This window comes from Homo sapiens, chromosome 14 (assembly GCF_000001405.40).
Source record: "Homo sapiens chromosome 14, GRCh38.p14 Primary Assembly".
Classification (NCBI taxonomy): domain Eukaryota; kingdom Metazoa; phylum Chordata; class Mammalia; order Primates; family Hominidae; genus Homo; species Homo sapiens.
In genome coordinates this window covers 83,012,120-83,039,645 of record NC_000014.9, presented here as the reverse complement: position 1 = coordinate 83,039,645, position 27,526 = coordinate 83,012,120, and the positions used below count along the sequence as shown (strand labels likewise).

Genomic DNA, 27,526 nt, shown 5'->3' with positions numbered 1-27,526 from the left:
AGGGTCTTGCTCTGTCGTCCAGGCTGAAGTGCACTGGCATGATCTCAGCTCATTGCAACCTCCACCTTCTGGGCTCAAGCAATCCTCTTACCTTAGCCTCCTGAGTAACTGAGACCACAAGCATGCACCACCATACCAGGTTAATTTTTAATTTGTCTTTTGTAGAGATGAGTTCTCACTATGTTGCTCAGGTTGTTCTCAAACTCCTGTGCCAAGCAATCCCCCTGCCTTGGCCTCCAACAATGCAAGAAGAACCTAACACACCATGGCACGTCAAGCAGCTTCCTTCAACATGAATTTGAGCAAAATACTCTACACAGATTATAGATACTATATCTTAGTGTTTTATAGAAATTTTCTTTTATTCCTCATTAGAGAATTAGTAAATTCTAAGCCAGATATGGCTGGGAATTTTTTACACTAATTTCAGCATTTGTACGTAAGATTAGAGTAAATGTAGTTTCCAGGAGAAACAGTATTGTTGTTGCTTTAATGTAGACTTCTAGATTCGGCTTTGAAAGGAGGCTGATTTACTAGGTCTGCAAAGAGTTCTAAGCATCTTTAATTTTAATCGTCAGTCCAGATGATTTTGATATAGGGGGCCATGGCCTGTGATCCCCACTGATTTTGATGGCTATTACTTATGTTGAAGACCTTGTTATCAGCTGCCGAAATTTCTCAATTTCAGTCATTTTAGGCTCACTTATTTTTTTCTATCATTACAAGATTATCAGACACTGAATTTCAAAAAGCACATTGTACAAAAGTCTCTCTTGACTCTTCTCTAGGTAAGAAGAAAAAGTTAGCACTACAATGCTATAGTCACATTTATGTTTTTGTTTTCACACGCACTTCATATCTAAGACTCAGTGGGCCTCACCAAGAAACAAAGGTAAGTTACATAAAAACTATTTCTTAGAAAAATAAAAATAATTCAAACATTCTTTTATGGTCTAATAAAATATACATGTTATATATTTATAATATATATATGTAATGACTAGTTTTAACTGGAATGGATTATGTTTTTTGGAAAGGCTTAAATTACTCAAAATCATCTCATATTATTAATCATGCCTTTCAATAGAAATAATATTTCCCCCAGGGGGACAAAAATTGGTTTATGAGAATTAAAAATATCTTACTATTTTTATAAACTGTATATAAATATATATACACATATATTTATATACATATATATTTATACACATATATTTATATACATATATATTTATATACATATATATTTATATACATATGTATATATACACACATATTACATGGTTTGGCTCTGTGGCCCCACTCAAATCTCATCTCAAATTGAAATCTCCACATGTCAAGGGAGGGACCTGGTGGGAGGTGATTGGATCACGGGAGCTGTTTCCTCCTTGCTGTTCTTGTAATAGTGAATGTGTTGTCACTATAAAACTAGAGCTGATGGTTTTAAAGTGTGGCACTACTTTCTCACTCTCTCTCTCCTGCCACCATGTAAAACATGCTTGCTTCTCCTTTGCCTTCTGCCATGTTAAAAGTTTTCTGTGGCCTCCCAGCCATGTAGAACTGTGAGTCAATTAAACTCTTACTTATACATTACCGAGTCTCAGGTAGTATTTTTATAGTAGAGTGAAAGCAAACTAATAGAGAAAATTGGTACCACAAATGGGGTGCTGATCTATAGGTAACCTGAATAAGTGGAAGTGACTTTGGAACTAAGTAATGGGCAGGGATTGCAAGAGGTTGGAGGGCTTAAACAAGACAAGAAGATGTGGCAAAGTTTGGAACTTTCTAGACACTTGTTGAATACTTCTGACCAAAATTCTAACAGTGATATGGACAATGAACTCCAGGCTGAGGAGGTCTCAGATGGAGATGAGAAACTTACTGGGAACTCGAGCAAAGGTGATCCTTGCCATAATTTAGCAAGGAGATCGGTGGCCTTTTTATCCTGTCCTAGAGATCTGTGGAACTTTGAACTTGAGAGAGATGATTTAGGGTATCTGGCATGATATGGTTTTGCTGTGTCCCCACCCAAGTGTCATCTCAAATTGTACTCCCATAATTCCCACATGTTGTGGGAGGAGGAACCTGGTGGGAACAGTATGATGGTTTCACCCATACTGTCCTCATAGTGAATCAGTCTCACGAGATCTGATGGTTTTATCAGGGGTTTCTGCTTTTGTATCTCTCTCATTTTTCTCTTGCTTCCACCATGTACGAAGTGCTTTTCACCTCCCACCGTAATTCTGAGGCCTCCCAGCCATGTGGAACTGTAAGTCCAATAAAACCTCTTTTTCTTCCCAGTCTCGGATGTGTATTTATCAGCAGCATGAAAACAGACTAATGCAGTAAATTGGTACCAGTACAGTAGGGCATTGCTGGAAAGATACCTGAAAATGTGGAAGCAACTTTAGAACTGGGTAACAGGCAGAGGTTGGAACAGTTTGGAGGGCTCAGAAGAAGACAGAAAATGTGGGAAAGTTTGGTACTTCCTAGAGACTTCTTGAATGGCTTTGACCAAAAGCCTGATAGCAATATGTACAATAAATCCAGGCTGCGGTGGTCTCAGATGGAGATGAGGAACTTGCTTGGGAACTGAAGCAAAAGTGACTCTTGTTATGTTTTAGTAAAGAGATTAGCTGCATGTTGCCCTGTCCTAGAGATGTGTGGAACTTTGAACTTGAGAGAGATGATTTAGTGTATCTGGTGAAAGAAATTTCTAAGCAGCAAAGCATTCAAGAGGTGACTTGGGTACTGTTAAAGGTATTCAGTTTTATGAGGGAAGCAGAGCACAAAAGTTTGGGAAATTTGCAGCCTGATAATGTCATAGAAAAGAAAAAACCATTTTCTGAGGAGAAATTCAAGCCACCATCTGCAGAAATTTACACAAGTAACAAGGAGCCAAATGTTAATCCCCAAAACATTGAGAAAAATATCAGAGGTCTTCACAGCAGCCCCTCCCATCACAGGCCTGGAGGCCTAGGAAAAAATGGTTTCATGGACGGGGCCCAGGGTCCCTATGCTGTGTGCAGCCTAGGGACTTGTTGCCCTGCATCCCAGCCACTCCAGCCATGGCTAAAAGGGGCCAACCTAGAGCTCAGGCTGTGGCTTCAGAGGATGCAAGTCTATTTTCTTTTTTAACTTTACTTTCTATTACTACCTTTTTAATTGCTTTTTAGATTTGTAAGTTCAGGGTTTTTTTTTTTAATTTATTTAATTAGAAAATCACGTATATTTTCACAGGTTTTTAAGTATACTATTTATTGAGATTATTTTGATCTAATTACTTTCTAAGCTCTAGAACAGCAACAATATTTGGCTTCCTGTAAATATACTACTGAGATAGGCAGCATGCTTTGGCATCAGGGCAATTTCAAACTCATTAATAGGTTGATAAACCTCTCCTCTTCTATATTTAAAAAGATACCATGTAGGATTAGCATTATTTCTTCCATAAATCTGAAAGAATTAATGAGTGAAGTCATCTGGGCCTAAAATCTTTGTGGGAATGTTGAAATTAAACATTCACATTTTTCATTTGATACAACTCTATTCAAATTTTTCATTTCTTTTTGAGTCACTTTTGGTAATTTATGGTTGTCATAAAATATGAAAATTTCATCTAACTTTATTAGCATACAGTTGCTCATGATAGTCCCCTATAACCCTTTAATATCTTAGAAATCTATCATGGTGTCTTCTTCTCATGCCTAATATTGGTAATTTGTATTCTTTTTTAACCCATATGGCTAGAGGTGTACTAATGCTATTTGCTTATTTAAAAAAAATCTTTTGCTTCACTGATATTTTTCTGTAGTTAGTTTATTTCCTATTCTATTGATTTACACTCTAATCTTTATGATTCTTTTCTTTCTACTTGTATTATATTTATTTGTCCAGCTTTGTCTATTTTCTTTAGATGTACACTTAGATAATTTTTTTAGAAATTTAAAAAAAATATTTAGTGCTATATATTTTCTTCTAATCACTGTTTTAACTGTGCCACAGAAATTTTTACATTTTATGTATTAATTTTTATTCACTTCAAAACAATTTCTAATTTTCTTTTTGCTTTTTTTTGAGCCATGAGTTATTAAGAAATGTGTCATTTGATTTCTAAATATTTTGCGTTTTTCAGATTATTTTTTCTTTATTTATAATTTATGTCTATTCTGCTTAGAGAGTATACTAATATACTCTGTAAGATATCCATCATTTTTTATGTATTTAACTTGTTTTATGGCTGTGATGCTTAATTTTATCTGTCAATGTGGCTAGACCATAACACCCAAATATTTGGTCAAACATTATCCTTTATGTTTCTGTGAAGGTATTTTTTTTTTCTAGATGTGATTAACATTTAAATCAGCACACTTTCAGTAATGCAGATTACCCTCCATAAAGTGAACGAGACCCATCCAATTAGCGGAAGGCCTTCAAGCAAAAAAAAATATACTGGCCTCTCCTAAAGAAGAAGAAATTCTGCCAGCTGCCTGTCTTTATACTACTGGAGCTGCAACAGTAGCTCTTCCCTGAATACCCAGCATGTGAACCTATTCTGCAGATTTTGGACTTGCTATCCTCCACAATATTGTATGAGTCAATTTCTTAAAATAAATGTCTCCCTTTCTCTCCACACACAAATACACACATACACAGAGACACATGCACACACAGAGAGAACCTATTACTTCTATTTCTCTGAAGAACTCTAATACAAAAACCCAGCATATGTTCTATTTTGGTGAATATTTCATGTGCCCTTCAAAAGAATGTGAACTTTTCTTGTGTATGAATGTGTCTATAATTGCAAATTATTTAGCTAGTTGTTAATTTTTTTCAGGCCAACTTGTTCTATTAAATAATAAAAGAGAAGTGTGAAAGTTCTCAAATATAATTAGTGGGTGTATGTATTTCTATTTGCAGTTTTTCAGTTTTTGCTATACGTTTTCTGAAGCCCTGTCACTAGAGACATATACTTTCAGGGTTATGTCTGTCTTCTCGATGAATTTACCATTTTATTTTTATGAAATGTCCCTTATAACTTCTGGTAATATTCATTCTTTTAAATTCTGTTTTTTCTAATGATAATTTAGTAACTCCAGCCTTCTTATTATCAGTGTACACATTGGATACTTTTCCTCTTCTTTTAGTCTTAATGTTTCATATTTAATCGAGTTCTTTAGGTATAGTATATAATTTGGCCTTGGGTTTTTATTCAGTCTAAAAATATTTTCCATTTAATTGGAATGGTTAGATTATTTGAATCTAATGCAATTATGAATATATTTTTAAAAGTATTAATAGATTTAATACTTTTAAATCTATAATTTTGCTATTACTATCTATTAACTTATTTTGTTCCTCTTTCCTGCCTTCTTTTGGATTGAGACTTTTGAAGATTTCATTTTATTTTTACTAAATTTTATTTGCTCCTAAGGTTTTAATTAGAAACTGCCTTGGTTTTTGTTTTTTTGGTTTGTTTGCTCATTTGTTTTTGTCTACTTGGGCTACTTGGAGTTTCTTAGGGCTATGGGTCTAGTGTTTCCATCAAATTTCAAGATAAATAAATTTCAGAATATATATTTAAAATACACATATTTCAAAATATATAAAGTATATATTTCATACATATATACTTATATATGTATAAAAGTATATATTTTGTACATATGCACAAATATATATACACAAATATATATGTACAAAATATATATGTATGTATATACAAATACATATGTGTATATATACAAAATACATAAAGTACATATATGTGTGTGTATATACAAGTATACATAAATTATAGTGGGTATATGTTAACCTGCTGGCTCACAACTACCCATTGATTGTTTGGATTTTTTGTTTGTTTTTTAATCTTTTTATTTCCCTTATGCTTTCCTTTGGCTACTTTTCGCTGCTATGTCTTCAAGTTTTCTGATTTTGGCGCTTCTTAATCATCTGCTAATTCCATCCAGTTAAGTTTTAAATGATAATGCATTTTACATCTCTAGAAGTTCTTTTGTTGTTTTAAGTATTTCATTTCTCTTCTTATATGTTCATATATTCTTTTAAATATGGGATTATAATAATAACAGTTGTTTTAACACTTTGCATCCTTATTCCGTTACTTTATCATTCCCAAAACTATTTTGATTGATTGATTTTTCCCTTGTTTTATGAATCCTGGACATTGTGGATTTTATGCTATTGTATATTAAATTTTTCTGTCTCCTTCTAAATAAAAAAATGCCATTGTTTTTCTGGTAATATGTGAAGTTACTTGTGGTTCAATTTGTTCTTCTGAGGCATGATTTTGAGTGTTGATAGCCAGGTCTTATATATTCACCCCAGGGATAGGCAAGCCACAGTAGGATTTGGCCCTTCCAGGATCTCTACTAAATTATCTGAGTGATCGATGAAGACTCTCCACGTGATCAGAACTTAAATGCCTTATTACCTGCATAAACTGGGAATCATTGAAGTCTCAGCAGTCTGGCATTTCTTAGGTCAATATCATGGCTTTTTGCCTTACACATGAAGGTTTTAGTATTCAGCAAAACTCAAGGTGAATCCTATACAGATTTCTGCGTGGCTTCCTGAGGTCTGATCATTGTCTTTAAAACTCAGCAAGATCCCTATGGGTACCCCTATCTGAAATGTATCTACACATTGATAGTTGGGGTGATCCTGTGACTCACCTGATTTTACATCCTTATTTCAAGAGTCACAGTCCTGTAACACATGTAACCCGATGTCTGAAAAGAATTACTTCATATATTTTGTTCAATGTTTCATTTGTTTACAGGATAAATGTAAATCTGCCTCTCTTATTCCATCATGCTTGGAAGAGGAAATTCTTTTTATTGGTAAAATATAATTTGAGCTATTTTCTAAACCTTATCTTCTTTAATCTTTACATAAAATGGATTTTGTATCTTTTTTTAACAAACGTATATTTTAATTCCTAAGAACCTACTCTCGTTTTCTTTTATCCTCTTTCATCACAGCATGCTACTGATTTTAGTACAAGAAAACTATCATCTTCAATAAACTATCATCTTCAATCTCTCATAGGATACTCATTAGATTTTTTAAAAATATCCTCCAGTTGTTCAATTACCTTTGGTTTCTGTAGCTAATTATTCTATTAGTTTATTGTGGTCTTTCACGCAGACCCAGACACACACATACATACACACAGACACACACGCAGACACACACACACACACACACACATTCCACACTTGCTAACATGAGTTTGGAGCCTAATAAACAGGACTGTTTTGGACAGTGAAGAAATTTTCTAAGAATTTTCTTGGCTGTTATTTCCACTGCTCAGTTAATCATTACTGAAACGCTGTCGTTTTTCTGCTAGTGGTTTCTGCTTTCCTTCTGCACATTACACTCGATATACACTCTTTAACATATATTTACTGTGATTTCTGTTGGGAGCAAGGAAAGTTAATTATGCATGCTCAGCCTATTGTCTTGAAGTTGATGATCAAACTTCCAATTTTTAAATAGATTTTAAAAATATATTATATATGAAGAAGATGTAAAAGAAGTAAAAGAGGTTTTACTTTTGTTTGAGTAAACATTGTGATAATTTCCACAGTGGGTGTGAACTAAAAGTGATTTCCTATTTTATCAGCATGGACATCTCTCTGCAAAACTTTGTAAAAAATATTCTTTCTGGTTATAACACTAAGTCTTAAGGCTTAAGCATTTTGTGCCATTGTTAATGCAGGCTGTTATGTCTATTTCTATTGTTTTTTACATCACTAAATGTGATGTTCCTATTAATTGGTGTGGCTTATATTTTCAACAATGTGTAAAGTTGAAAAACTATTTTAAAAAATAAATAGTAACTAATAAGCTAAACATTCCTATTTGTGAAACTATGAGATTGCATGATTTCCTTTTAAAAGTGGCTTACAGCATGTTATTTTGACCCAGTAAAATCGCTTTTATCCTCAAAAATACTCACTTTTATTCTTCAAGTTGAACAGCTTTAGATTAAAATAAACTATAAGATAAAGTTTACCCTGCTATCATTTTTTTCTTTTATATTTATACCTATTTAATTATGTTGTCTGTGTCATCTGTAAAAACTTTTTCATTGGAATCATGGAGGGAGAATTATATATGTGGTAAGTGAAACATATGGTCAAAGGCTGTGGAATAAATGTTTTCTCTTGTTTCAGAACAGCAAAAATAAATTATTTGTTGCTGATAAAATATATACAGAAGCAGATATGATTATAAAACACAACAACTAAAGGGTGAACTTTATCTTAATCCCAACACGTCAGGTTCTAACTGCAGAATATATTGATTAAATATATTAAAACTCTTTAGATTGATTACTAGAGGAAAGTGATTAAAACTCTTTAGATTGATTACTACAGGATTGATTAAAACTCTTTAGACTGATTACTAGAGGAAAGTATTACTATCCTTGAAATCTGCATCAATGTTCCTATCACTAAGAAGTGGCACAACATATTGTGTGAGTTATGTAAAATATGCTGCATACAATGCTAGAGAACATCCAGTTAGGAACAATCAAGTTTAACGAGAAACACAGACTTTAACTTAATATGTGTCTTCCTTTGTAACCTTTATGCCACTGCTGGTCTAGTATGCAAATGACTGTAAAACCCTAACTGTGGTAATTGATTATCTCCTAATGAACACTTGTGCAGCTAATAATTATTGTGCGTTTTCATCTGCTATACATACATCACATACCTCTAGGGAAAATCCTAGGGTTTTGGCTGTGTCTTATACTGAACCACTTATACATCATACTATTCTTTTGACATAGTGTCAGTTTTACTGCCTAACTAACATAATAACTCCAAATATACACATCATGTCCTTCTTAGCAATTATAACATTACACAAATAAGGTAAACATTTCCTGTGGCAACCACTTATGAATTTTATGTTTACACTTATTTGTTGAGTCTTCTAAAATTCAGTTGATTATTTAATAATATTAATGAACAATAAATGATTATTAAATGATTTATGCATTTTTATTAATATTATTTCAAAAAGCAATTCAGTTGCCTGTAATGTATTAAGAAATAAATGCCATTTAAATAAAAACTTCAATAAGAAATATCTTCTTCTGCTCTTTATAAAACGAAATTTAATAAAATGCGATATTCAACAGTTACATAATTTGCTATTGATAATTAAGTTGAATTAACATGTTTCTGTAAAAGTGTTACTCTGCAATAGTGATATAAGTGTTACTTTTCAATGTGTTCTACTATTAGTCACAATTTCAGCATTATTGATCAGTTTATCTCTGCTTAAATGAAAGTATGCTACCTATTCCCTTACCGTTGATAGGTTAAAATTAAGTTTTAACCTATCAACTTAAAACTTACTAAGTTTTAACCTAGGTTAAAATTAAGTTTCAAGCCAATTTGACTCCAGCACATGTACCATTTCACCTCATTAAAATAAACATGTTTTTCAATAATCATGTTACCATTTAGTTGTTCTGTGGTTCTTTGTAGAAACAATGGTTTAATTTGCTAGTAGAAACATCTTTTTGGTTCTTAGGATCCAGTCCAAATACATTTTTATATCAATCATGAATTCTTAAAATGCCTATGAATTCTAAAATTAGGAAGCGACTGTGGCTCAGGCAAAGAAACTCAATGACTCCTTTTTGAAATGGTCTCAATAAGGATACATTTTTATTAAACACATGCATCCAGAAGCCACTCTTTCTTGATGGTTTAAATAAATCATCCCAACCTCCAGTCCTTATTCCTATAAATTTTTCTGCCCAAATTCTACTATTCGTATGTCCATTGTTTATCTTTGGCTGGAAAATATTGTTTTTCCTTCCTAAGCACAAGTCTCCAATTTCATCAGTAGGTAAGATTTCTCAATAAATTTGAGTTGTGACGTTATTCTTTATTTCATTGACTTTTTTTTCACCATCCATTAACAGATGCTGAGAGGTATACACGCAAAATCACTGGTACATATCTGTAGGTCAGATTTTCATCAACCCTCAAACATACTGTGTAATTTTCCTATGCAAGGTAGGAAATAGATAATATATATACTGTATAGTTTATATATACTGTGTATATGTACTGAATATATATACTGTATAATTTATATATACTGTGTGTATATACTGAATATATATACTGTGTATATACTGTATAATATATAATATAGTGTATAATGTTCATATGCAAGGTAGTCCTATGGTAGCTTCAATATAAATATTTCCTGTGATTACAGAATTGTTTAATGTTGAAGCTAAAAAAGAGAACCTAAATTACCTATATATTAAAACAAAAACTAATTAAATTCATGAGCTTATTATATGCAAAAACTTCTGAGATCTTGAAAGAAGTATTTCAGAAAGCAGAGACTTCAGTAGTGGTATGGAAAGTGGTCATGTGATAGGAGTGGAAGGTGTTAGTGACATCAGATACACTCTGAGCACCCGCCACCAGCAAGTGAACTCGGTCAAGATGATGCACTAGCAACAAGATTAAACATATTTTATTTAAACACAATTTTTGTAGTATTTTTTTCATTCTATTTCCCTTTATTCTTATCTCATTGAGCCAATTTAAGGACCAAGATATTAGTTCAAGATCAGAATATTATCTCAGAATACATTTTGTAAGAAAGTTAGCTCATATAGATATATATAGGCAGAAAACATGTCCCCTTATTGTAGTAGCTCATAAAATAGACATAATTAAACCAAAACCTGAGTCATTCTCACAAGTAAGCAATGAAAATTAATGCTAACAAATCATAAGAGAAATGGTTTGTATTTTTTCCTAATCAAACACAGCTTTCCCTTTACACCATTTACAACACACTGGGGCCTAAAGTGTAGGCACAGATAGAGTACTAAAAAGAAAATGGGCCACAGAAGATTAAAAAACATAATCAATAGTAAATCCCCAGGCTGTAGAGTCACGTATTTTGAGTATTCTTGTCTAACCCCAGAAGATTATAGTTATTAAAGATAATATTTTTGGACCTGACACATTTGCTTTCTGCTTAAAAGCATCGCCTTGTGGGTGAATGTCAGTATTATCATTATTATTACTAGTACTATGACTACGTGGACGGCTGCTGCTGTTACGAAGTGTAGATCATGTGTCTATTTTCAGGTCCAAAGAACTGTTCACTACTCACTCATTTTAAGAGATTAATTGCCTTTGGCCATGACTTAGTTACAATGACTGACATCTGGAATCCACTTAGGAGAGATTTATTATTAGTAGCTCAAACTCTTGATCTTATTTTTGCAGCCATTGTTACTTTGAACAAAATTGGCTTCTTTTTCCAGGTTTCAATCAGTAAAATATCTGGGTATACCTATAATTTTTTTGACTGTTGAATGAGTTATTATTATTATTATTTGACATTCTGAGTAGTTTGTGTATAAGTTATGGATCTGTACAGAGTTTTCAAAACTTTGTCGTTTTGTTATTTACCTTGTAGACCTTCTCCATACCAACTTTACTTTCCAAGATCTCAATAAACAGCATAGCTTAAATTAGATAATACTCAATTTTAATGAAGAAATCAAGCCCTGAGGAAAACTTTGTAGTAGTCTTGAGGGGAAGCTAAGTATGTGTGCAGTAAGATTTCTTTTAGTGATATCATTATTATGCATCCATTATCAAAGTATAGATTTTGAAACTAAGAGTCACTTTTAATGGTGATTAATATTCATAGAGACAATGGGAAAGAAAATCCATTGTCTCCAAGTTTGTTTGTCTTTTTTACTGTTTTTAATTGTCCAAGAAAACTAAGCCTTAACTATGTTCATTTGGGGATTGTCTTTATGGATGATGCTCCTGACAAATGCCCATAATATTGGGACTATTATAATTCTTTTACCAGGGATTCACTCAGAATTGTGTTACTTTTGGCCAATGATTGCTGTGATATTTGCAGAGCAAGTCTCCCTGTAAAACAATATCAAAATCAATTGTAAAGAAGAAAGCTGAGACACGAATATAATTTCCATTTAAGATTATGTTATATTGCCATTTTTCTCACTGAGCCATCACACATTTCCATCAGCACAATTTTCTAGCAGTGTCTATAATTTTGCCTCTAATTGCTACAGTGATCGGTGAAAATACTTTCTAAGTGTCACCTAATTCTTTAAATAGAACATAGGGTAGCTTGTCTTTTCTGCTCTTGCATCATTGACTAAAACAGGATGTACAATAGCAAGTTAGGGCTTAGCATCAGAAAGACATGGGTTCTAATTCCTACTCTGAGCCACAACAGCTACGCCATCTTGGGAATGTGCTCACCTCTTTCATTTCTTCCTTGAATTGAAACAACTGTATATACCTGGGAAATGTATAAGGATGCAATAAGTTAAGAAGTGAAATGCACTTAGAATAGTGCTCAATGAGTTGTAGCCACTATTGTTATTATAATTCCCACTTAAGTTGTGGAATGATTCCAGTATGAGGCAGGTTATGAAATAATATGGTTTATCTTCTAGGCCAGTGGCCCTATAAATTTCCATTGTTATCTGCTAATGAATATTTTGAGAGCAGACTTTCATAAAGATAAATTAAGCTTAGGAAAATAAAGAATTATGAAAAAAGTTTTATCAAAACTCTGCCAAAATATCATAGGCTATCAAAAATGTTTAATCAAAAAAAGGCTACTTTTAATGATACAATCAGCCATTTTATTTTGTGTAATATCCGTACATGTATTGTTTATGTTCAACTTGTAGTCATGTAAAAAATTAACACGTATTTCACGTTCATGGAGATTGTTTTAGCATATGCTTTACCTGGTGTGTTTTCCTTTTAAGATAAGAGAAACAAAGACAAAAATGGTGTAGCTTACTTCTAATGGCCTTCTAACAGTGATAAAAGATGTGCTGCGGATGTGGGGCACTGATCCCACTGTCTGTGATTTTCTATTAATTGTCCAAGAACACTCATATTCTATACGTTAATTTTAACCTTCAAGATTATGTAAGAAAAGAAAGCACTTCTGACTCTATGTGTCTTTTGCTGCTTTGCTTTGTTTTGCCTTGCTTTGCTTCCTAGTCTCTCAACTATTTTCTCAAAGTTCGTCCTGGAAAAATGTTGTGTTTTGTGAACACCTCTGCCTTGAGTGCGTTCAATGGATGGATCCTCAAAAAAGAAATTGTATTCACTTGCGTACGACCCACTCCATATTGACGGTCTCTTCTCTGAATATTTGTTCTATAATTTTGCTGTACCTGAAACAGCCATCCCCTAACACGGCTGCTTCCCCAGGCGGGGACTGCTTTTTGTTTTCCCCCCACCGCCTCATACTCTGTGTATCTCATAATTGGGGAAAGGTTGTTTTCTCAGGTACTGATTTCTCACCACAAAGCATTTATTCTCCCCATTCAATACAAAAGTCTTCCTCTTCTAATGCTACCATCTTTTCTGGCACCAGGCCAATCTCTTCAAGGAAGCTGAAAGGACCTGCCTACACATGTGTCAAGTTTTTTTACCCTAATATTTCTTTCATAATGAATTATTTTCAAATATACAATAAAAGTAGAGCATAGTAGAATTATATATTAAAAATAAACAGAACTTCAGGTACACAAATATCTAGTTTTAACAGCTCAACATTTTTTTATTTTTTCATTCTTCCTCCATTTCTTTCTCTCTTCCTCTTTCTTGCTCCTTTCCTCTCTCTTCCTTGTCTTTCTTTCTTCCTTTTTTTCTCTTCTTTCTTTCTCTTTCTTCCTTTCTTTCTCTCTCTTTCTTTCTTTCTTTTTCTTTCTTCTTTCTTTCTTCTCTTTCTCTCTCTTTCTCTCTTTCTTTCCCTTCCTTCCCTCCCTCCTTCCCTCCCTCCTTCCCTCCCTCCTTCCCTCCCCTCCCTGCCTGCCTGCCTGCCTGCCTGCCTGCCTTCCTTCCTTCTTTCCGTTCTTCTTTTTTTCGTTCTTTCTTTTGAAATAAAACATTGCAGATAGTAAAATCTTTTGCTCCTTTGGTTCCCCTCTCAGATATCCTCTTTATTCCCTCTCTTAATATTACTATATTTATACATCTTTTTAAGCTTTCACTATATGTGAATCTATTTTGTGTATTTTTAAAACTTCGTGTAAAAATAAAACTCTGCATCTTGCCTTTTATAGTGATTAGCATGTTTTAAGATGTATTTTTCTTAATATATGTATACTAAAATTTCTTCAATTAATTTGTTTGTATGTCTCCTTGTGTACACGTTTAAGAGTTTTCTGAAATTTTTATTCTGAAGTAGAATATTTGAACTTAAAATATGCGTAGCATTAACCCGATTAGATAGTATACAATTTCTCATTAATCGTTGGTCCAATTTATACTCCTGATATCAGTGTAGGAAAATTCCAGTGTGTCTACATCTTCATCAATAGTTGGATTTTCTTTTCTTAACATTTTTTTCCAATCTGATAGATGTGTAATGATATCTCATTGGTCTTCAAAACATGTAATTCCAATGTGGTTCCAATCTCCACAGGACAAATTATTTCCTTTCTGTAAGATTATCAGTAGCCTCTAAAGTGTTACATAAAATAGACATATTTCAATCTTCAGCTCTCTCAGTAGAACTTGAAATAGTTAACCACTTCTTTTTCTGTTAATATTAAGTGATTAATATTTACTAAATGAATGACTCAATAAATGAATGGAAACTACTCAGTATTTGTTGAAGGAAGTAATCTCTCAACCAACAAAGCAAAATAAGTTTTTTTTTCCTTTTTTTCAAACTGAATAAAATTTATTTCCTAAGATATTCATTAAATGCCTAGTAAGTTAAAGTATGTATACTAGACGTGAAAGATTCAAAGATGCAATTCTTATCCTTTTAGTATGGAACCATGTCTGGGGTAATATACACTTAATAAATATGTGTCTAGTAAATAACATCATCAACATGATCTCTTTTTCTCAAAGTATCTTTTATATTGCAAAATTCACAATGTTTGAATACTTCATTTTCTGACTTCTGTAGAAAGTTTGTGCCAAAAAGCATGAGCTATGTCTTTTTTCTTTATGTACTGAGGGCATAGAATAGTGCCTGATACATGGCAAATAGTATAAAGTCAATTTGTATTTGTTGAGAATATTAAAAAATTGGAAGATAAAAAAATTCCATAGAATTTTTATTTTAGTAAGGGTTCAAATGAAATTTAAGGTGTGTTATTCTTTATCCAGTATCTCTCAATGACAGAGAGATGATCTGGTTAGAACTTAAATCATGGAGAGAAGAATGGTAGGATAATATGATCAAAATACAGACATTTCTATGAGAATGGATGGGCAAAAGAGAATGTAGAAAAACCTCGTACCTCTTCATCTGGGTTTTAATATGAGTGTTGAGACTTCCCTGGGTTGATCTTGCAGGATTTATCTTAATGCTGTATTGGTGCATTTGTAGATTGGTTTTCAAACTCCTCTGCCTCACAATTCATACGATTTCTGAATCAATAGCCATAGCAGTCCTTGTTACACAAAACATTTTTTTAAATGGCATGTGAGTTCCTAAAATGCAGCAATTTAAATATCATCACTTGGACTTCAGTAAAATTTGGTCTATGGCCCTATTTAAGTGCAAATTATTACAAAAATGTTGTAATTTAAGCCATGTTGTATTCAAATACAAGAGATATTTCCCGGCACCACTCTCACATAGTAGGTTTTCAATAAATGTCTATGGTATTATTAAGCTAAATGTTCCTAGCATGCTGTTCAAAGAGGAGTTTTTGGTCAAAGGGAGAATCTAAAATAATCTATGGGCTTCTAAAATTGGGAGATGTCTTAGTTAGTTTTGGCAGTTACAACACAAAATACTGTAGAATTAAACAACAAACATTTATTCACTACAGTTCTGAAGGCTGCAAAGTACAAAATCAAGGTGCCAGATAATTCAGTTTCTGGGGAGGGCAGTCTTTCTGGTTTGCAGAGGAAAAACTTGTTGTATCCTTACATGGTGGCAAAATTATCTCTCTTACGTCTTTCTTTAAAGGGTATTAATCCCATTCGTAAGGATCTACCATCATGACGTAATTACTTTCTTAAAGACCCACCTCAAAACACTGTCACATTGGGGATTAGCACTTCAACATATGAATTTGAGGAAACACAAACTTTCAGTCCACTGCAGGGAATAATGTTGAACTGGCAGAGGTGGGAAAGAAAGGAGGTTCTAAATGCTACATAATTGATAGTCTTGCCTACATCAGAATGATCTAGAAGGTTTTTATAGAAGTAAATCTCAAATGATTGTATTGATATTTAATGTGTCAGTTTTACCTGGTGTCAAAATACTTTATAAAAGAAACAAACGTAACAACAGAAACCATGCTGAAACCAGGATTTTGTTTTTTCCCACAGAATTATAAAAAAATAAACCTGTCAATCAAAGCTACCTCCCAGATTCAGGGCTCTGGTCCCCTAGACACAACAAACTCCTCCTTGTGCTCACAAGCCCCAGAGACGTCCACTTGTGAGCTCTCGAAGCATCTAAAATGAATCCTCATAATCTGGTCTTTAATAACAGCAGACCACCCAAAGTTGGCAGACATAATAGTAATTTATTTTCAGAACAAACTGCCTTTATTTTTGACAGGAAAAATCTTCCTCCACAAAGTCTCAGAGAGAGGATTACTACATTCTGCACACTCAGTGAACGTTTATTATTGAGTCAACAGAAATGAACAAAATATAAAAGCCTTAGAACAAACTTAACAAAACAGCCTGGAGATTTAAGGGGGGAAATATTAAAGAAATACGTATGGGAAACAGTCTACAGAAAACGATGAGTTAGTTAAGACTTTGCAATTGTCAAACATTCTCTAGGCACATCTATTCACCTAAAATGTATAATCATATAAAGACTTGTGAATGGGTGTCTCACTTGAAGATTCTAAACTCTTTCTTTAAGACAGATATTGATCTTTAATGCTTTTCTCCTGCCTAGCTCGTAGTAATGTTTAGCTCTTAAGAAACTTGTGTATTGCTACAAGCACATCAAAAGAATGGCATTAGAGAAGTGTGAGTCATGAAAGCCACAATATCTAAGTGAAATTCATCTCCTAAATTGCATGGTGTGTGAGATTGCAATAATAATTTTCTGAAAACCTTCATTAATATCTTATAGAGCACCCTAGTCAGTATGAAGATGAAATATGCAAAATATCTACCTCTGGACTAACAACTTAACATGCAGAATTAAAAAAACAAACAAAAAAATGAAATATATGAGAGATGATGGATCAGAAAGTTTTTGTTTGCCTATTTTTTTTTAACTGACTGCTGGGAAGGATTAGATTTACAAGTGGTGATAAAAGGTGTATAAGTTAAGTAGATTTTCTATATGTGAGATGTTGAAATAAGGAGGCTGGCAAATTCTTTGCTTGGAATAGGCAAAGATAATTAAAACCTTTTGTATCTCTACCTTCAATCTAAACTAGACAGAAAGAAAAATCTCAAACTTAGGGACCAATTAAAAATGGCAGATGAATTCCACAGGTTTGAGAAAACACTATTCATATAACAAGATAAAAATAATTTTTGGAGAAATTTCAGATCCAAGAATCGAAACAGTAGAATCCTATATAGATTGAAATTAGTAGAAAAAAATCTTGTTCCTAAGAAGAGATGTTTTTTTTTTCTTAATAATTTCAATTTTTGTTTTATATTTAGCAGGGGGTACGTGTGCAGTTTTGTTACATGGGTGCATTGTAAAATGCTGAGGTTTGGGATATGCCTGATCCTGCTACTGAGGTACTGAGCATAGTACCCAATAAATTTTTTAACCCTTTCCTCCCTCCCATCCCCCTCTAGAAGTCCTCAGTATCTATTGTTGCTATCTTTATAAAGACCCAATGTTTACCTCCCACTTATAAGTGAGAACATGTGGTATTTAGTTTTCTGCTCTCCTGCATTAACTTGCTTAGGATAATGGCCCCCAGCTGCATCCATTGTTGCTGCAAAGGATGTGATTTCATTCTTTTTTTTACAGCTGCGTTGTATTTCATGGTGTATAAGTACCACATTTTCTTATCCAATCCACCATTGATGGGCACCTAGATTGATTCTATGGCTTTATTATTGTGAAGAGAGCAGTGTTGAGCATATGAATGCATGTGTCTTTTTGGTAGCATGATATATTATCTTTTGATATAACCCCATGAATGGGATTGCTGGGATGAATGGTAGATCTGTTTTACGTTCTTTGAGAAATCTCCAAAATGCTCTCTACAGTAGCTGAAGTAATTTACATTTCCACCAACAGTGTATAAGCATTTCCTTTTCTCCACAGCCTTGCCAGCATCTATTGCTTTTTCACTTTTTAGTACTAGCCATTCTGACTGGTGTGTGATGATATCGCATTGCAATTTTAATTTGCATTTCTCTGATGGTTAATGATGTTGAGCATTGCTTTTCATATGTTTGTTGGCTGCTTGTATGTCTTCTTTTGAGAAATGTCTTTGCTTGTTAAATTAAAGTTTCTTATAGATTCTGGATATTAGACCTTTGTTGGATGCATAGTTTGAATATATTTTCTGTCATTCTGCAGGTTGTATGTTTACTCTGTTGAGAGTTTCTTTTGCTGTGCAGAATCTCTTTAGTTTGAGTCCTAGTTGTCAGTTTTTGTTTTTGTTGCAATTGCTTTTGAAGACAGTCATTAATTTTTTTCCCAAGGCAGATATCTAGAATGGTGTTTCCTATGTTTTGTTCAAGGATATTTATGATTTGATTAAATCTCTAATCCCTCTTTAGTTAATTTTTGTATGTGGTCAAAGGTAGGCATACAATTTCATTGTTTTGTATGTGGTTGGTCAGCTCTCCCAGCACAATTTATTGAATAGGGAATCCTTTCTTTATAGTTTATTTTTGTTGACTTTGTCAAAGATCAAATGGCTATAGGTGCACAGCTTTATTTCTATGTTCTCTAACCTGTTTCATTAGTCTATTTGTCTGTATTTGTATCAGTACCATCCTGTTTTGGTTATTGTAGCCATATGGTATGGTTTGAAGTCAGGTAACATGATGCCTCTGGCTTTGTTTTTGCTTAGGATTGTTTTGCCTACTCAGGCTCTTCATTGGTTCCATGTGAATTTTAAAATAGTTTTTCTAATTCTGTGAAAAAAATGACATTGATATTTTGACAGAAATTTTATTGAATCTATAGATAGCTTTGAGTAGCATGGTCATTTTAATGATATTGATTCCTCCAGTCCATGAGCATGTAATGTTTTTCATCTGTTTGTGTCATATATTATTTCTTTCAGCAGTGTTTTGTAGTTCTTCCTGTAGAAATCTTTCACTTCCTTCATTAGCTGTATTCGTAGGTGTGTGTGTGTGTGTGTGTGTGTGTGTGTGTCTATTGTAAATGGGATTGCATTCTTGGTTTCGCTCTCAGCTTGAATGTTATTGGTGTATAGAAATGACACTGATTTCTGTACCTTGATTTTGTGTCCTGACACTTTACTGAAGTCGTTTATCAGTTCCAGGAGCCTTTTGGTGGAGTCTGTAGGATTTTCTAGGTCTAGACTCTGATAGTGAAGAGAGTGACTTTTTTATTTATGTTTATTTTTCCTATTTGAATGCCTTTTATTTATTTCTCTTGCCAGATTGCTGTGGCTAGGACTTTCAGTACTATGCTGAATAGGAGAAGTGAGAGTGGGCATGCTTGTTTTGTTCCATTTCTCAAGGGGAATTCTTCTAGCTTTTGTCATTTGGTATGAAATTGGCTGTGAGTTTGTATAAATGGCTCTTATTATTTTGAGGTATGTCCCTTTGGTGCCTAGTTTCTTGAGGATTTTTATCATGAATAAATTTGATCAAAAGCTTTTTCTTTGTATATTGAGATGATCATATGTTTTTTGTTTTTAAATCTGCTCATGTGGTGAATCATATTTATTGATTTGTGTATGTTGAACCAAACTTGCCTCCCAGGAATGAAGCCTATTTGATTGTGCTAAATTAACTTGTTGATATGCTGCTTGATTTGGTTCAATAGTATTTGGTTAAAAATTGTTGCATCTATGTTCTTCAGGGATGTTGGCCTGTAGTTCTCTTTTTTCGTTGTGACTTTCTTAGGTTTTGTGGGGTTTTTTTTTAAATAATCAAAAAAGGAGCAGTTGGAAAAACACTGGACAAGCTGGCTGAATGAAGAATGAATGTGTGTGCTGTATTTAGGAGGGTTAGAGAGTGTGGAGAACAAAAGGGAGTGCAGAAAAGGGTAAGGAGCCCCAAAGGATGGAGAAATAGAAAAGAGAACTTACATGTAGACTTCATCTACTTTACTAATTTATAATGTGCTCTTTTGTGCCAAGATATAGAAGGAAATAAAACATTAAATTAATATGCATAAATTATAATAACTACTTCTATAATTAAATGAGAAATTTGAATACATATTTCTCTGATAATATAAGAAGAGAAACATTTTAAACAACTACTTGGTAATTGAGATCCTCGGGGCAAGGGTTGGGTGGAGACAGCAAATGGCTCTAGTATTAGGGTTGTTGTACTTAACAGATAAAAATAGAGGATTCTCAATTCATTAGAATTTCAAGTAAATAAATATTATTCACACAAGCATGTCCCATGTAATAACTTGGACATGCTTTAACTACAAAGTTATCTGTTATTTATTTGAATTCACATTTTACCCAACACCCTTTAATTATCTGGTAACTTCCTCTGCATTAAAATGTGGGTAGGAGAAAGCACAGATGACTTAGTGAAGAAGAAAATACATGGTAGTAGGCCATGCAGGACATAAAAATTAAAAAGCCCACAAACACACAAAACAATGAGGTTTACTGTACAGTTTTAAATTAAATGGTATATGGTGCCATAATATATCCCTTCTCAATTTTAGACTCACACTCCATTAAAAGGCCAATACATAAAGCTTGTATAAGTTGTTTGATGAGGAAAAGGGCTAACATAAAATTATATTAGAGGAGGGAGGGTGGCAAAGTCTGGCATAAAGTGATAATTAAAGAATCATGTGTAGTTCTGAACTTAACATGACTAAAATATGAACCTTATTTCTCTCTTTCCATTTCTCCAGAATTTGCTCTATCCTCAACGTTGCAAAATGTCTGGGCATAGGCTGTGTTGCATTTCTCACGTACAGTATGAGCAGAGAAGCTTACCCATTCTGTTGCAGCAGGTCCAGAGAAGTCTCACTGAAGTGCTTTGGTTTTTATTGAATTGCATGCTTATTATGTCTGGACAAGAAGATGTGTACATGAAGAGGATGTTTTGATAGGCCTGACCTGAGAGCTGTATGCTCACAATAAAAGCTAGAGACACAGTCATTTGACATTAAAACAACTGAGAAAAGATGATGAATCTTGAGAAGAAATTGGGATATTATGTACAAAAGAGGCGTTATAATACTTTATGGCCAAAACGAAAACAAAAGAAAAAAAAAGCAAGAAAACAAACAAAATCAAAAAACAAAAAAACTAGCAATGTTCCACCATAAAGTTTAAATGGATCTTACTTTGGTTCAGACTTTAGAAACGATTGACATCTGGGTTATGTATATTTCACTTCCCACGTTCTGCACGGTAATCTTCTAAACTTTAGCAACTTATCTTATTAATTCCTTTAGGCTTGATATGAAGCCTGCCCCAGATAAGTGCCTCATAAAAGAAGAATAAACAAATGAATGAATAAAAGCAAATGCCATACTATAGACTTTTGAGTAAAAAGATTTTCTCTACAACATATTAAAAGAATGAACCAGCAGAACAAACTTCAAACTTTAAAACAATGTTGTTTAAGTTAGTCATGTCTGAGATGATAAATAAATCAACAGGAGAAAAGTGAACTTCAAAACATGTATCTTTAGGAGGATTTGAATTGGAAAACCACTGACACTTAATTGCTAAAGTGACTTTGACTAGTTATTCATCTATGGAATAGGAAGAAAACTTACTTGATCGTGTTGGCATGATGATTAAACATGACTTATGTACATGCAAGTGCTGAGCACTAGTCTATAACCTCTATGGGCATTGCGATCACTATGACATATCCAGAGACTAGCTCAATTTCTAGTACATTGGAGGCACTTGATAAATGTTTCCTTAATTTGAAATCTGAGAACAGGACATTAAGGTGAGTTATCCTGTTTTCTTTCTTTTCTCCCCACTTCACCTCTAGAGTGTGTGTGTGTGTGCACGTGTGTGTGTGTGCACGTATGTGTGTGTTTGAGAGAGAGAGAGTGAGAGAGAAAGAGGTGGGGGTGGGGTGTTATTTAGGGTCAAAATACAAAGTAGTAACAATTCGTTGTCCTTTCAAAGAAAATATTATTCAAACTTCATTCTGATTTATAAATAAGCACATGTCACGTATGTCAGGAATCCATCACATTTTACTGAGTATTTAAAATTTCATTTGTTTTCCCTCTTAGTTCTTTCACATTAGATCCAGCAGTTGAGATACATTTTGCTTGTGCTGCAGTTTTCTATTATGGATATGTAATGTGTCTAATAAAGAAATGAGAAACTAAAATTGTTGCTTTTTCCTCCTGCCCCTCATTTCTTTTTCTCATGCTGTGAGAAAGGTCTTCTGTTTATTATATAATTCTTCAAAGGAAAAAGTTGTCTATGTATTAATTATGCAGTAACATAAGAGGAATTTTTTATGATTTTTAAAAATTTCCTTAGGTTTTGGGGAAACAGGTGGTGTTTGGTTCATGAGTAAGTTCTTCAGTGGTGATTTGTGAGATTTTGGTGCACCCATCACCCGAGAAGTGTTCACTGTACCTAATTTGTAGTCTTTTACCCCTCACACCCCTCCCAACATTTCCCCCAAGTTCCCAAAGTCCATTGTATCATTTTTATGCTTTTGCATCCTCATTGCTTAGCTCCCACTTATGAGTGAGAACATATGATATTTGGTTTTCCATTTCTGGGTTACTTTACTTAAAATAATGGTCTCCAATTCCATTCAGGTTGCTGTGAATGCCATAATTTCATATATATATATGATAATTATATATGCACATGAAATTATATATATATACATATATATATATACATATATATATATATATATATATATATATATATCACTATTTCATTATCCACTCATTGATTGATGGGCTTTTGGGCTGATTCCATATTTTTGCAACTGTGAATTGTGCTGCTATAATCATTTGTGCAAGTATCTTTTTTTGTATAATGAATTCTTTTCCTCTGGGTAGGCACACAATAGTAGGATTGCTGGATCAAATGGTAGTTCTACTTTTAGTTCTTTAAGGAATCTCCACACTGTTTTCCATAGTGATTGCACTAGTTTACATTCTAACCAGCAGTGTAAAAGTGTTCCCTTTTCACCGCAACCAGAAAACTTTGTTGAATAATGTGATATGACAGAATATCTACAGGTTTTATTTAATTTTAAATGTTCTATGTCAGTTAATATTTATGTCATCATCTATAGTAAGCTCCACATAGGTACATAAAACCATGAAATAGACCTCACTGAAATTTCAAATATATGTTTACATTTGTAATGAGTTTTAAGATACCATGAACTTAACTGATTTAAGTTAATATTTAAGTTTAAAATTTAGGTCAGAAGAAATTATAAAGGGATGATTTTGTAGTTAACATAATGAAGGAAAAACATTTCTACCATTTACTTAGAGTGACTGGAATTTGTATGGCTTATCAACATTAACTTATTAACTTCTACTCTGTGCGTATCATTGAACTTTATAATAGTTGAGAAATATAAATAATAATAATGTCATAGTATATATCTAATTACTGCTGATTCAGGTGTAGACAATATATTTGAAACATTTGTTGTATTTTCCATTATTGTTATAAACTTTAAAATAAAATGAGTTTTAACTGATGATAAAGGTAATTTATACTTATAACACATATCAGACATATGGGAAGCTTGGAACTCCAATTATACATTGTGAACAAACCCACTACACAGATAATCTCTAGCATTTTTGAACATATTATTCTAAACCACTTTCTCTGTACAAACACCAGATACATATATTTCAGCATTATTGACTGTACTCTGAGGAGTTTGGAGGTGAGGAAGTTTGAGCAATAGGGAGATATTAGCAATTGCTGTCCCATGGAATTAATATTTGAGAGGCTAAGAGCCAGCAGTTGCCCTGAGAAAGCCGGCATGTGTGTCAAATACACATAAAAAATGGGAAATATGACATGAAATGAGGCTGGAGAGATGGAAAAGGGAAGATCAACAAGGAGATAAGAACTTTGGTCTTTATCATGAGAACAATGTTGTAAATGAATCCTAGGAATGACACCCAATGACCCTCTCTGTTGTTAACTCCCTCTCACTTGAGTGTCTGAGGAGCCTCTAAACATGATGAGATATCACTTCCCCAGAATTATGTTACTTAACTTGGCAAAAAGGTGAACCAAACTTAATCACATTAGGGCTTTTAGAGTTTTTTCTAGCTGGTAGTAGAAAAAAAAGAGAGATTTGCAGCATGAGAGTGACTCAATGCATCATTCCTTCTTTCAAAGGTGAAAGGGTCCTCATCCTAGAGTCTAGGTGGTCTCTGGAAGCTAAAAGCAACCCCTGGCTGACAGCCAGCAAAGCAGCAGGGACTTTAGTCCTAAACCTGATGAAATGAAATTCTGCCCCAAACAGAAATGAGCCTGGAAATGAATTCTTTCCCAGAGTCTCCAGATAAGATTTTAGCTGGAAGACTCCTTTGTTTTGGCCTCCTGAGATATTGAGCAGAAAACTCAGTTGAGTTTACTTGGACTACTGACCTATAAAACTCTAAGATAATAAATTGGTGTCATTTTAAGTCATAAAGTTTTTGGTAATCGCCTGCAGTAATAGAAAACTAAAAGCAATGGAAAATATTAGACAAAGAGGTATCAAAATTTGATTTGCATTTTGAAAATGTCACTCCCTGGGGAAGAGGAGAGAGAGAGAGAGAGAGACAGAGACAGAGACAGAGTGCAGAAAGAAAGAATTCCCGAGTACATGCAGGAACAGCAGAAAGATCTGTTAGGAAGCATTTGAAATAATCAAGGACAAAGCAGATAGTATCTTGAACAAAGAGTAAAAGATGCAGTAATGGAGATTTTAAAAAAGAAAATTAGTGTCCATAAGGAATGTGCTACTTCTTTTACTCATTCAACTGAAAATGTTTTTGGAAGTGTGTTCGGTAATAGGGACATGAGGATTGTGCTAAAAACATATACTTTTTTCTATATCAATTTCCACCCTCTCTCTCCCTTCCTGCTCCCCTGGAGGTTGTTCTGTAGAGACTACAGAAATAAATTATCCTGCCCTCTTGTTTTGATTTGAATTTAACCAATGAGAAGCACTGGTAGGGGACTGCAGGGAGGGAAGAGAGTGAGGCCAGAGCATTCATTTTTTTCCTTTTATAATTCATTTTCATTATATTCATTATATTTCATTCATATTCATTATTCTTATTTGCATTTTACTCAATTTTCTCCCCATAGGTGATTGTGAACCGACTGACTGCATCACTTAACCAAACGTCATAATGCCTATTGGTGGCCCTCTCCCCTTCCCTTCTTCTGGATCTGGCACATGCTCTTTTCTATTACCCCCTTTAGGCCTAGGGGTGATATACTAGGTCTCGGAATTGCATTATCCCAGTCTATGGCCATTTCATTGTAAATAGTTTCACCTTGAATTATTTTCAACTTACTCTCTCTGAGGATGCCATCAATTCCATGTATGGATTTCAAATCTAATCCAAGTGCTTAGCCCTTTTGCACTGTTGCATGTAGTGAATTCAAGTGTCTCTCACACAAATGGTGATCATATGCACTGTGATAGATCAACCTAGAAAAGAATCATATATGGGAAGGGCTGGCTGAGGACAGAGAGTAGATTTTGTTCAGATTGGATAGGTAGCCCTTGAAGTATCATCCCAACAAGCAAGTGGAAACATTAAGTAGGAGGTTGGATATGTGAGTACATTAGTTTCTTTTCATTCTGCTGATAAAGACATACCTGTGGCTGGAGAGGTCTCACAATCATAGTGGAAGGCAAGGAGGAGCAAGTCACATTTTACATGGATAGCAGCAGGCAAAGAGAGAGCTTGTGCAGGGAAATTCCCCCTTATAAAACCATCAGGTCTCCTGAGACTTACTCACTATCTTGGAAACAGCACGGGAAAGATCTACCTCCATGACTCAATTACCTCCCCTCGAGTCCCTTCTATAACTCGCCTAGAGATAGAAATAGTTCAAGTATGCAAAACCCGAATTCATAAATATGATGAGATTTTACAGGAGGTAAAGTATACAAAGAGAAAAAGGCCTAAAATTTTCTTAGAAAGTTCATACACCTTAATATTTGAAATACTGATAATATAGCTTATATTTATGAAGCCAGGCACTTCTATACACTTTTTGCAATGTAGAAATTATGCCTCAGAGGGGCATGAGTGTTTTGCTGAAGATCATGTGTCTAGAAAGTGGAAGAGCAGATAGTCTGGCTCCAGAGCCTCTCAACTGGATAAAGATTACCCACAAAGGAGACAGAAAGAGTAGCCAAAGAGGGTGGTGGGATAACACAATTAAAGTAACCATTTTGATGACAACAGTGTTGAACACCTCTGAGGAGTCAAGTATGATGAGCGCATAATGATATTCATTGGATTTGGTAACATGGAGACTGCTTTTCCTTCCTTTTGTTTTCCAGTCACAAAAAATGATGCAATAAATTTCTTGCTTGTACCCATTATGCTTTTATCTTTTTCTAGAAGTGGAATTGCTAGATCAACGAGTATGTCCATTGTAACATTGATAAATAATTTCAGATTACTACTCAGAAAAGGTAGACATTTTTACTCCTACCAGTAGTAAATGAAAATGTATGTTCCATCAAGTCTTTCCAACACCGCTGTCAACTTGATGCCCGTCAGCCTAAAATAAATTCCAATGTTGTTTAGTTTGTGTATATTTGACTAGTAGAGAGGGAGAAACATCTTGCATATAACAGTTGTGAAGTTATTATGTTTATGGGTGTGACTCTTACAAAAGACAATGACAAAGAAAAGTCTGTAAATTATGCCTTCTTAATGTCTGACAAAACCTAAGTCATTGATGTCCATTAGAATATATTATTTTAGATTAATATTAGATAAAATTAATTCAAGAAAAAAATGCTTCTGTAATCCCTTTACCTTACTGCATTTTTATTCCCATTTAGCAACCTGAAGCATCTGACATTTGTCATGTAGCCAAATGCATACTCATTGAGCAAGATGACTGATGATGATTGGTCATGATGATGACAGCAATGATGATAATGATGACGATAGTGAGGACGACAAACTCATGCCTTGATGTACTTTTTCAAGAGTTAGGTGTTTTCCTTTTAATATTTTTCAGAATTTTTTTAACACAATTGCACTCAGGAATTGGAATATCATTTGTATTTCATTTTTTAAATCAGTGAGCAAAATGAGCAGGAATAAAGGGAGTTAAAATAGG

At 33.8% G+C, this 27,526-nt stretch overlaps 1 long non-coding RNA gene across 2 annotated transcripts; it reads left to right on the top strand.

Moving 5' to 3' along the window:
* On the top strand, positions 1-27,526 carry LOC105370600 (uncharacterized). Of its 2 annotated transcripts, XR_944089.3 has the most exons (4): positions 1-139; positions 789-892; positions 21,094-22,151; positions 27,243-27,526. It is a non-coding gene; the product is annotated as an uncharacterized LOC105370600 (long non-coding RNA). The 2 variants fall into 2 exon arrangements; XR_002957602.2 differs by lacking the exon at positions 789-892 and having other exon boundaries at positions 3-139; positions 27,243-27,440.